Genomic DNA, 12,792 nt, shown 5'->3' on the forward strand with positions numbered 1-12,792 from the left:
TTGGGCTTCTGAGTAGCTTGGACTACAGTCATGTGCCACCACACCCAGCTAGTTTTTTTGTATATTTGATAGAGATGGGATTTTACTAGGTTGGCCCACCTGTTCTCAAACTCTTGGCCTCAAGAGATCTGCCCATGGCCTCCCTAAGTGCTGGGATTACTTGATTTTAAATGATTTTAATCAGCAATGGTTTGAAAGTAAATTTAAGTGACTAAGAAGTGACTAAGTTCCTAAATTATTTACTCTACTCCTCATAAACAAGTATTTTCTTATAAAAGGCATTAAGGTTTTTCCAAGTAAAATTTTTTGGTATAAATTGTTTCCATACAATTTAATTTATGGTATACCTGTGGTTTTGCTTTTGCATTTGGATCTTTAGCACTTTTGGATATCTGATGAATTTTAACATATGCTATTCAATGAAATGAGTTTGTTACTTGATACCGTGTTTACCTTTAGAATAAAGTGTTAGGTACTAATATTTTAGGAGAACTGACTTGAACTCATCTCCTGGATTCTAAACTCAGCACACCACTAATTTGTGTGCTGGGTCACTTCACTGCTAGAACTGCTGTGGCTTTTGCTGCCACTGTGGCTGTTTGCTATCACAGATTGATTGATGGCTCTGTGGCAAACACTACCATAGAGCCATCGATCAATATGTGATAGCAAATATGTGAGTATTTTTCTGTAGCTCAAATCCAACAGCTTTGCAAGGGAAGTAGCTTATCTTCATTTGGCAGGAATGAAGCCTGAGAGAGATTGAGTCATTTGCCCTAAAATTTGCTCATAACCAAGTTATGCCCTGTAGTTTTCAAGCTTCTTAGTTTTTCCCTCTCTAAAAGGGTATGACAGAACCTGTATCATAGAGTAAGCAATTACTTTGCTAAGGCTACACAGAGCAGCATTTCTGTTTTAAGACTTAGTAGGAGTGTATTCATGACCCAGCTCAAACACCACCTCCTCAGCAAAGCGCATTCAATTCTTCCTTAGTCACAAGGATTTGTTCTCTGGGTTTCTCTAACAGACACATGCGAATCTGAAAGAGCCAGAAATGTTTCATTTGTGTTTTTGTTCTTTTATCCCACTATTCTTCTCCCCTCCCCTCCCCCTCCAAGAAGAAACTAGCATGGTGCCTGGCACTTGGCATGAAATGACAGAGCCTGTCACATCTAACAAATTAACCAAATGGGTCTTTTGAAAAGTCTCTTCTTTATTACGTTTTGGAAAACTGAGTGCAGCTTATTTGCCCAGGGGCTTTTGTATGAATATGAGCATCATCAGCTAGCGGCTTTTTCTTGAGTAGCAAGCTATGTTAAGTCACAAAGGGTAAAAGTAAAAAAATAATTATTATGAATGAAATTGTGCTCTTTTTTAATACTTTCCATTATCACAAACTTAAAATATTTATACTTGGTTATTGTAAAAATATATAAATTATAAAAATAAAATTATAAGTGTATTATTCCCTATAGGCACATTTCAATTTCTAAGCAAAATCTTGTTTTTGCTTTTAATGGCTCTACTTTTTTTAAACTATTACCCTTGTCTTATTATTGTTTTACTAGTGCATTTAACTAGACCTTTAAGATATTGGGGGTTTTTGGTGTGTTTCAAATTTGTATAATAGACATTGCTCTATGTAAGAAGATAATCAATACTTACGGACTTTATAAAAAGTTAGCACTTTTCCTTCCTATTGAAAATTGTCTGGAATTCTAAAATACAATTTTAAAACAAATTGGATTCATCAAATGGTAGAAGACAGTAATTTATTTTTGATGGGATGGTTTACTGTGAGAATCTAATATATAAACTTCCTTGATTTCCCATAAAACTTCCAGTAAGCATTTTTAAGTATAATTTTCCTCAAATTTCTTCTGAAGAATTCACTGATTTTAACATATCACTGACAGTAAGGCAGTAAAAAAAGGGGGGAAGGTGTTTACTGCCTTTTGTATAAACCCAAGGAACCTTGAAATTTACAACTTAAATTTGAGTCACAGTCTAGATTTCATTTCTTCTGTAGCTTGAATGCAATTAATAGAACTTTGAACTCATAATTTGTGCATAGCTCTTTTGGTCTCTTTCCTTCCCCCAATTTATAGTTTTCATGTGTGTGTTTTTATTTGTCTTGTATCTTTTCTCCTATTTGCTATTTATTTGATTAACTTTTGAATCTAAGTATGTAAGACTGTCCATACCACTGTCTGTCCTGTGCTCTCCAACACAGTAGCCACCAGCAACATGTGATTGTTTGGTGCTTAAAAAGCAGCTGGTCTGAGCGAAGCTGTCCATACTGTAAATTATGCACTGGATCTCAGACACTTGGTAGAAAAAAGAATGTAAAGTTTACTAATGGCGTATAAATTACTTGCTGAAATGACAATAGTTTGGATATATCGTCATATCTTGTCCCCAGTTTATTAGAGTTCTTCTGTGGGGGAAAGAGGAGAGAGTTACTGACAGTAAATTCTTCTGGTTAGACAGTGGAGGTGTTGCTGCTGTTGCTGCTATCCTCCCTGACCTGTTTTGTGTGCTAATAGATTCCATGGAGAGCAATAACTGAAAGTTGAATTTAGGATTGCTTCTGGCTTTGAGGTTTCTGCCTAATGGCTAAAGGATTTAAAATGTAAACCAGTATATTTATATTACTTGTTTTTCTTTTAACTTGTATCCTTATTAAATTTCATTATTTAGATGGTGACAGTAGTGTTAGTTTAGACTTGAATATACTCAGATGTATAAAGGGGCCAGGCAAGTAACAAAGGAATGAATTCATCCTATGTTAGACAATGTGGAATGATACATGTGCTGTGTAACAAGTATATGCCCTCTCTACAGGGTGGGTAACCTTATTCCTGTTTAGCTGATTATGGTCTTACGGGTATATATGGACTTGTGTTGCCAGATCTTTCAGATTTCTAAGAAGAGCAAAAATCTGGATTTTTAAGAATCTTAAACCTCTCAATTTTTAAATACTGATAAGTAATGTAAAATTTAAAAATACTTATGCTGGTCAAACTAAATATGGCTGTGTTCTGAATGCTACCGCTTGGTAACTTCAGACCTAAGAGATTGCTTCTTGGAAATAAATACAGGTTTTAGGTATTTTAGATGACCTAATTAAAGTATACCAGTTATGAAGAGAGGCTTGGTAAGCGCCTGTTGATGAATGGCTTTTAAGTTTTACACCTTTTAGAGAATATTAATCTGAAAGTAGTGAATAATTGTCTTTTAGTTTGTTTTGAAATACTGTTAACAGTTTCAGTGTACTTTTTGAGTATATATTTCTAGCGTACTCTTATATATGGAAGTTATTCTGCTCCTTATTTTTTCTTACATGCTTTTCTGTAGTTATTTTGATATGAATTGTTTTCCTGAACATTTAGAAAAAGGTTTGTGTCAGATTGCTTGTCTCATCTCACAGAGCCCCCCCGTTCTGGTGTGTGTACTGTTCAGAAGTATGATGGGTTGTTTTCTGAGATTTCCTGGCTCTGTTCCCCTCCCCCCACTTTCATCTAGACTTACTTTTTCCTTTATCTCTTCTGTCCCTCTCCTGCTTGGCTGAAATTCCACTCCCAGCAGTTTCTCTAGTGTGAGCCCTGTGTTTGGAGAGTTCACAGGAGCTCCAGGATTCTCTAGCCCCGGGCCTCACTGTAGGCCTGCCTTGCACTCACCAAGTCCTGGAGAGGACTAAATACTTCCCAATTTCAGCTGCTATATCCAGTTCACACACAGCGCTTCCAGTGAATACCTGTGGGCTGTTTGGGATTCTCTTGTTCTCAGATTGCTCAGATGCTCTGTGGCTTCTCTCTGCTTTCTTCAACAGATACTGATAATATCTAGTGCTTGAGGTTGGATGCTACTTGGAGTGGTTCATAGAGAATACTTTTCCACCTAGTTATGTTGTAAATGTTTCCCATGGGTTTTTGGATTTGCTATCTGCTTGCTGTGTTTGTGTGTGTTGGGGGCAGAGGGAATCAGGAAGGTCTAGAACTGCTGCTTCTATCCTCCCAGAAAATCCAGATGCACTAAATTGATAACCTGATGAGTGGTGGCAAAAAGTCAGACAGTCATGTTTGAATAGGTTTACAAATTATATTTAAGAAAAATATTATTTTTTCTATAAAGGTAGGGAAAAGGCTAAGCAGTCATTCACTGCTTCTTAATAAAAATTCTTTACCAGAAAAAAAAAATCATAGAAAACTTCAAGAAAAAGAATTGATTCAGCTCAGTGTTGAAAGTGGTTTGTATTCCTGGCACTTTATACTCCCACTCCCAACCAGAGACACATTGTTTCAGCCACAATAGGTTACATCACTAACCTTTTTTGGGTTTTGTAAACCATTAAGGATTACATGAATTACCATGTAATCCTGTTCAGACTTGGTAAGACATTTACTGAATATTGCTTGTTCTTATTCCCTAGATATAAATAAAATAATAACACTTTATTCAAAAGAGCTCCATGGAGTAATATTTACTAAGGGCCAGGTTGCTCAGTTTTATGCACAGAAAGGCAATACAGTGTTGAAATACACATCTGTTTCAAGTTCCCATATCTATAAGACACTTCTCTCTCTTTAAACTTAAAGGAAAATATGTATGCACACTTATATGGATTTACAACAGTACAGTGATCTGAATTTCGGAACTTAACTTTCAGTATAAAAAGTTTAGTTCTCTGCCACACGGAATTTCAGCCGTATGCTTGTGTAATGTATATAAAGATTTAAAAAAATAGATGGGATTATTTAAACTAAAAAAAGATGTGGAAGTTACTCCTAAGTGTAAATACTATGTTCTATGACATTAATATATATACCTTATTTTCTCTTAATTTCTATTTGAAGGTCTCAGCCAATTTCTTCTCCAGTCATCCTCCAGTTTGGTCATGCAGAGACTCTTCTTCCACTGCTTTCTCTCATGGGCTACTTCAAAGACAAGGAACCCCTAACAGCGTACAATTACAAAAAACAAATGCATCGGAAGTTCCGAAGTGGTCTCATTGTACCTTATGCCTCGAACCTGATATTTGTGCTTTACCACTGTGAAAATGCTAAGACTCCTAAAGAACAATTCCGAGTGCAGATGTTATTAAATGAAAAGGTGTTACCTTTGGCTTACTCACAAGAAACTGTTTCATTTTATGAAGATCTGAAGAACCACTACAAGGACATCCTTCAGAGTTGTCAAACCAGTGAAGAATGTGAATTAGCAAGGGCTAACAGTACATCTGATGAACTATGAGTAACTGAAGAACATTTTTAATTCTTTAGGAATCTGCAATGAGTGATTACATGCTTGTAATAGGTAGGCAATTCCTTGATTACAGGAAGCTTTTATATTACTTGAGTATTTCTGTCTTTTCACAGAAAAACATTGGGTTTCTCTCTGGGTTTGGACATGAAATGTAAGAAAAGATTTTTCACTGGAGCAGCTCTCTTAAGGAGAAACAAATCTATTTAGAGAAACAGCTGGCCCTGCAAATGTTTACAGAAATGAAATTCTTCCTACTTATATAAGAAATCTCACACTGAGATAGAATTGTGATTTCATAATAACACTTGAAAAGTGCTGGAGTAACAAAATATCTCAGTTGGACCATCCTTAACTTGATTGAACTGTCTAGGAACTTTACAGATTGTTCTGCAGTTCTCTCTTCTTTTCCTCAGGTAGGACAGCTCTAGCATTTTCTTAATCAGGAATATTGTGGTAAGCTGGGAGTATCACTCTGGAAGAAAGTAACATCTCCAGATGAGAATTTGAAACAAGAAACAGAGTGTTGTAAAAGGACACCTTCACTGAAGCAAGTCGGAAAGTACAATGAAAATAAATATTTTTGGTATTTATTTATGAAATATTTGAACATTTTTTCAATAATTCCTTTTTACTTCTAGGAAGTCTCAAAAGACCATCTTAAATTATTATATGTTTGGACAATTAGCAACAAGTCAGATAGTTAGAATCGAAGTTTTTCAAATCCATTGCTTAGCTAACTTTTTCATTCTGTCACTTGGCTTCGATTTTTATATTTTCCTATTATATGAAATGTATCTTTTGGTTGTTTGATTTTTCTTTCTTTCTTTGTAAATAGTTCTGAGTTCTGTCAAATGCCGTGAAAGTATTTGCTATAATAAAGAAAATTCTTGTGACTTTACTACCAGGACTTTTCTCTTCCCCATGTCAAAATACAATCAATAATTGATGGTAAAAGTTTGGAAATTCAAGCAGATTTGACTCACCTGGCAATTTTTTTTTATTTTTTATTTTTGTTATACTTTTAAGTTCTAGGGTACATGTGCACAACATGCAGTTTTGTTACATATGTATACATGCACCATGTTGGTATGTTGCACCCATTAACTTGTCATTTACATTAGGTATATCTCCTAATGCTATTCCTCCTCCCTCCCCCTACCCCACGACAGGCCCCAATGTGTGATGTTCCCCTTCCTGTGTCCAAGTGTTCTCATTGTTCAGTTCCCACCTATGAGTGAAAACATGCGGTGTTTGGTTTTTTGTTCTTGCGATAGTTTGCTGAGAATGATGGTTTCCAGCTTCATCCATGTCCCTACAAAGGACATGAACTCATCGTTTTTTATGGCTGCATAGTATTCCATGGTGTATATGTGCCACATTTTCTTAATCCAGTCTATCATTGATGGACATTTGGGTTGGTTCCAAGTCTTTGCTATTGTCACCTGGCAATTTAAAGCAATTTTCTTTGAATAGAAATTTCCTCAAATAATGGATTTGTTAATGCATTTTATTTTAATTCATATACACCTTAAAGGTAATATGTTTCAAAGGAAAATCTTAGATTTTTCTTAAAAATATGTGGTTACTCTTATTAAACGACATGCAGCAAAATCCCCTACTGGAGTCTCCTCTTACTAGTTTTACGGTACTTTGCTTTCGAGGAGACAGACCATAGGAAAACCAATACATGTTAAGGGTATCCATGTGCCTACGTACAGATTATGTACAGATTGTCATATGTGACTTGGATTAGGATATTTTCAAGCCAAACTTCAGTTGATAAAATTGGAAAAATCAGTTTGAGACTTAAAAAAAAAGGCAATAAGATCTTTTTTTATCACCCATAGTCGAAATATTTTCTAGTTAATGCTTAGTCATTTGTTTTTTAGCCAATGAAGTTATCATATGCTAATTTAGAGAAAAGATAAAAAGATTTTTAATGCTTTCTCTATTAGTAAGAAAACCTCATGTTGCTTTTGGTTTGCAAAATATGACCCAGGGACACCTTTAAAATGATATCATATTAACTGTTGGGTTATGTGACCTTGCCAATACCTTTTTGAATAGATCTTCTAAGGTTAAAAAAAAGTAGCACTAATGAGTAAGTAAAAGAAACAAGCTGACAAACATTGGGAGCTGTAAATATAGTATGTGTGCTCTGAAAAAATGAAAAAGGACCATTTCAACATGGGATTTTCAGAAACTGAATTATTCCCGAATGGATATGATACATAAAATATTCTCCTCAGAACACAAATTCTAGAAAGAAGATATAAATGTTAGAAAGAAAGGATCCTGGGTTGAAGTGACCTTGGGAAACATGGGGTTATCCTATGGAATGTCTCTGGCTTTTAATGTTCTATTGTGCGTTATGAATAAAGGAGGCATTATAGTAGATTACATTTTTTTCTATCTTGCTTGACCTGAGTACATTCTCATTTATAGTCATCATACATTGTAACTCCACAGCAGGAAAAGAGATGTCGTATTCTTCCAATGAAATTTAGATTTATAGTTTGAGTTCCATACTGGAAAACTTGAGAGGAGGTTAACTTTAAAAACTTTAACTATTTTGTCATTACTGAAATAATGTATTTTAAGATGAAAGGATTCTTAATTTTATTCTTTAAACTAGCCTCAATTCAACATCTTCCATGTACTACATTCTGTGACTCACCACCCTCTAGCCTGAAAGGAACCCAATGGCATGTGTTAGTTTAATCCAAAATTTTTCAAAGTTTCTCATTTATAATCTATGACAATTTACAATCTATGACAATTGTAAATGAGAATATACTTTGAAAAATTTTGGATTAAACTAACACTGCCATTTGGGTTCCTTTCAGGCTATAGGGTGGTGAGTCATGGAATTAAATACCAGTGGAGGAAAAATTGTACTCAATTGTATATTGAAATTATGAGATGCAGAGATCCCTGATCTTTAGATCAGAGATCTTCAAATGAATGATGTTTTATAAAATAGATGATTAGCTGGTAAATGCTGCTGGTGCATTTATACACACTGCTGATTCTGCAAAGTTCTGGTGTTCTCATTTCTTTAAAAAAATGTAAATATGCAGACAAGAAAACAAAATGATGAGCACCCATATACATCCTGTTTTATCAAAATTAACATTATAACATTTGCTTTAGATTTCAATAAGCTGTTTTGAGGACGTTTATATACCTCCATGATTCTATTACCCCTATACCCTGCCTAGAGGTAACCATCAACATAAAATTCAGTATTCATCATTGCACTGCATACTTGATTCTGGAAACTTGCAGTATTGTGGGAGTTTTAAATTTTTCTATACAAAGACTTACATTCTCTGTATCATTCTTGCATTAGTAATTTATTTTAACTGCTCTGTTTGTTTTTCAAAACTTTTAAAAATCCTGACCATTTGTTGCAAATTAATACCTTCAATTTATCAATGCCTGTTGAGTACTTTTATATAAAAACACTATACATTTAGTCTATGGGCATATAAAGATGAATGAACTTAGGGTTTTGTTTTTTTTTTATTCAAGGAGTTTATCTTAAAAGATCTGAAAACATTTATTGTCTAACACTTAATATTTTGTATCCTTTGAATACTTTTCAAAATATCAAAGACTATGAAAGTTTCATAGGAATTAAATTTCATTGTTCAATAGGACTATATAGTCATCTTTGACCCTATAAAGATGTATTTTAAATATTTCATAGGAAAATACTGGGTGGAGGTTAAGCGTGGTCCATTTTTGCTAGTGTTACAGAAGTTGTGATATTATTGTGGTGTTATTTAGGAAATGTCTAAAATGAGAATCTCAAGATAAAAACTAAAGGTACTATCTAGGATAGGATATGTGAAGAGTTGAACATTGAAAAAAATCTTTGGCTAACAAGAATTCATTCGTAATAGGTGATCAAATTACTCAGTTTTGCCAAAATTTAACTTTTAATGATTTGACATTTTGATGGATTAATTTCTATGGACATTAGCCATTTTTTCTGTCTCATCTATAGCTACGTGTGCATTGTACTGTATTTACTGTTTTCTATGGTCATGTCATCATTTTGAAGTTCCTGCTCTCCAACACACACTTACTTGATACTGCTTTTGTCAATGATCTTGATCTTAATTTTAACACTGAAATCAAAACTCAATGTGTAAGGGAAAAAGTAGTTCATTTTTTCCAGGCATATTCCACTGTTATATCTTTATTTGAATGCTTTCCTTTTGTAAACTGCAGAACTGCTAATGCAAGCCCTTAGAGATGTGAGAGTTACATATAACCTAACCAGAATATAAACTGTACAGTTTTAGAACACGTTTTTGTCAGATGGTATTTCATGTGGTTCATTAATGATAGTGGGAATTTGGACTGTCTTTTGCCAAATGTAAGCTGAAAATATTTGCATTACTTGCATATACAATTTGCTTATATCTAACTATTACCCTGAACTTAGATCACAGATCACCCAACTCTCTGTTAACTGTTCTTTTTCTCATATTCATTTGTTTCCTTCCATTCATGTGGCAGCCTCTTTCACTCTTCAGTCTATTTAGCTATGCTTTGTTCTGTGTATGTGTGAGAATAGTAGTATTTTTGACAGAACTCCACATCAGGAAAAGAGATGTCATATTCTTCCAGTTAAAGATATAGTTTGAGTTCCATACTGGACAACTTGGGAAGAGGTTAATTTTAAAAACTATAACTTTTTTGTCATTACTGAAATTATTTTAAGATAGAAGGATTCTTAATTTTATTCTTTAAACTAGCCTCAATTCAACATCTTCCATGTACTACATTCTCAGATTTTATTTTATTTTTATTTTTAGAGACAGAGTCTTCACTCTGTGGCCCAGCTTGGAGTGCAGTAGTTCCATCATAGCTCACTGCAGCCTCGAACTCAGCTCAAGTGTTCCTCCCACCTCAGCCTCCCAAGTATCTGGGACTACAGGCACACTCCACCATGCCTGGCTAATTTTTAAGTTTATTGTAGAGATGGGGTCTCTACATCTCTATTGTAGAGATGGGCTCAAGTGGTCCTCCTACATCAGTCTCCCAAAGTGCTGGGATTACAAGCATGAGCCACTGCACCCGGCCCTTTCCCAGATTTTAAACCATTTAGACCCAAGCAATCCATGTTCACACTTTTGTTTGTTGTACTGGGAGAATAAATATTTGTTCGTTAAAATGACATCCTTCTGAATTGGGTAATACTACTGGTAAAGTTGAATTCGGATATTTATTTTACATTATTTCTAAGATGGCCAATGTGGAAAATTAAGTTGGAATGAAAGTATAGATTTTTCTCTGCATTAACAATTTGGGTGCTTTGGGAAACTTTTTCAACAAATATTCTGGAAAAAATACAGTTTTGATGTAAATTAGAGAAGTATATACTGGTGAAATATATCCTTGGATACATACAGATAAGAAAATTATTTAATTGATAAAAAGGTTGTTAATTGGAAACAGCTAATTTTGCTCCAGCCATAGTTGCTCTTCCTTTGAGAAACCGTTAGTTTCTTTTTCTTTTTCCTATTTTTTTGTGTTTTTTTTAAATTATTATCTTTTGAGATACAGTCTCTGTCACCCAGGCTGGAGTGCAATGGCACAATCATGGCTCACTGCAGCCTTGACCTCCTGGCCTCAAGTGATCCTCCCACATCAGCCTCCCAAGTAGCTGGGACTACGGATGTTTGACACCATGCCCTGATAATTTTTTTTTTTATCTTTTGTAGAGACAGGGTCTCAATATGTTGCCCAGGCTGGTCTTGAACTCCTAGGCTCAAGCAATCCTCTCACCGCAACCTCCCAAAGTGCTGGGATTGCAAGTGTGAGCCACCACACCTGTTGGATTCTTTCTCTTAGGTATTTTTCTGTCTTTTGCCTTCCTGAGATGAGAAGCCTAGTTTTGGTGAGACAGGATAGTGTTTTTTTCTCTTCTGTCTGTGCGACTTTGCTCCCTGAAGCTTTCTGTCAGTATTTGCATTATGAAAATTAGGTTAAGGGCCTGGTTTTCTAATGAGTCTATTTTAGATAGTCACACCACCCAGTGCCATTTATAGTGGGAAGAAACAACTGTCTCAACTTTTCTTCCTACTTCAGTGCTATGAGACTGAAAAGACTCTGAGAAGAGAAATTGAGATCCTTGGGGCAGGACATAAAAAAGTAAGATAGAAACAACAGCCTTCTCTGCCTTTTCCTTGCTAAGAGATAATACACAAAACTCCCAGATTTAGGTATAGGTTCCAGAAGCAGCTAGGATTCTATTAATACATCCCTATTACTCTGGTTGCAAGACTTCAGGTTTTTCTAGTTAGGAAAATGAGGGTAGACCAGCCAACACTGTGGAACTTTTCAAATAGACTGCCAATTTTTGCCTCAGTCACCTGCTGGAGATAGGAAAGTCAGTAATACTCACTTTTCAAGTCTAGTTGCTGTCAGCCTAGCTCTTGAAAAACAGCTGGAAGCATGGAAGCATGGCTTTCCTCCAGCCCTGTGGCCTACATGATGTTTCAAAGGATTGTTTAACAGGTCTAAAAACTGATTATGTGAACGAAAAATAAAATTCTAAGCCCCCCAACTGACTGAATGGACCCCTTCTTGGCTAAGGAATTCCAAGAAACCTGAACAACTAGTTCAAGCCATCACAGGACGAAGGGGTTGGACATACCTTGTTACATCCTCCCTTTGAAGTTCAGGAACAACTGACCAGCATTAATGTGAAAATAGAGATCGTAACAGTGACAAAACAGACTCTAGCAATAAGATACCAAATTCCAACCTGACTCTGGTACAGGATCACATAACAGCAGGCCCTGAAGGAAATCAAAGCATTTTACCCCAAAATAAATTTCTTTGACATATTTTGAAATGGCCCTGCAAAGCTGTCTCTTGTGAACGAAATCTGCATTCTGTAGAGAATCTCCTTCCCTTGCTAGGTCTTTTCCAGAGTCTGACACCTTTTAAGTTTCGACAAGAGATATTTACCATCTATTCTGTCTGAAGCCTGCTACATGGAGGCTTCATCTACATAAGAATCTTGGCTTCCACAGCCTCCCCCAACTTTAACATTTATTTATGCTGACTTCAACTCTTCAGTCAAAGCTTAACTCCTTCAACCAATTGCCCAGGTAGGAAATCTTGGAATCCACCTATGACCTGGAAGCCCTCCCACATCAAGATGTCCTGCCTTTCTGGGCTGAATCAATGTATACCTTCCATGTATCAATTTCTGTCTTTGCTTGTAACTTCTGCCTTCCTAAAATGTACAAAACCAAGAACTGTAACCCAAACACGTTGGGCGCATGTTCTCAAGACCTCTTGAGGCTGTGTCATGGGCGGGGTCCTTAACCTTGGCAAAATAAGCCTAAATCGATTGACATCTGTCTCAGATACTTTTTGGTTTAAATTACAAAGTATTTTATAAGCACTATTATAGACCTGGGTACATGTATTTGTTGGTATTTGTGCAAACACAGGTGAGTAAAGTCCAGTCTTAAAATCATCTCATATTACAGAGCATAA

The 12,792-nt window shown here is 35.5% G+C and overlaps 1 protein-coding gene across 5 annotated transcripts in view, besides 1 other annotated feature; it reads left to right on the forward strand.

Annotated features, from left to right (window-relative positions):
* The window catches only part of MINPP1 (multiple inositol-polyphosphate phosphatase 1), a 48,569-nt gene extending 42,333 nt beyond the window's left edge, over positions 1 to 6,236 (forward strand). For all 5 annotated transcript variants that reach the window (XM_011540379.4, NM_004897.5, XM_006718078.4 and 2 more), the window contains one exon: positions 4,857 to 6,236. In XM_011540379.4, coding sequence (XP_011538681.1) covers positions 4,857 to 5,253 — 397 coding nt within the window. In that variant the 3' untranslated portion in view covers positions 5,254 to 6,236. The remainder of the gene's footprint in view (positions 1 to 4,856) is intronic.
* Positions 4,479 to 5,678: an enhancer, noted in NCBI's record as "CDK7 strongly-dependent group 2 enhancer chr10:89311461-89312660 (GRCh37/hg19 assembly coordinates)". NCBI's record gives its function as "activates an origin of replication core promoter dependent on BRD2, BRD4, P300/CBP, MED14 and CDK7 cofactors, with strong dependence on CDK7, by STARR-seq in HCT116 cells {active_cell/tissue: HCT116}" and the evidence as "EXISTENCE:reporter gene assay evidence [ECO:0000049][PMID:35650434]".

This window comes from Homo sapiens, chromosome 10, assembly GCF_000001405.40.
Source record: "Homo sapiens chromosome 10, GRCh38.p14 Primary Assembly".
Taxonomy (NCBI): domain Eukaryota; kingdom Metazoa; phylum Chordata; class Mammalia; order Primates; family Hominidae; genus Homo; species Homo sapiens.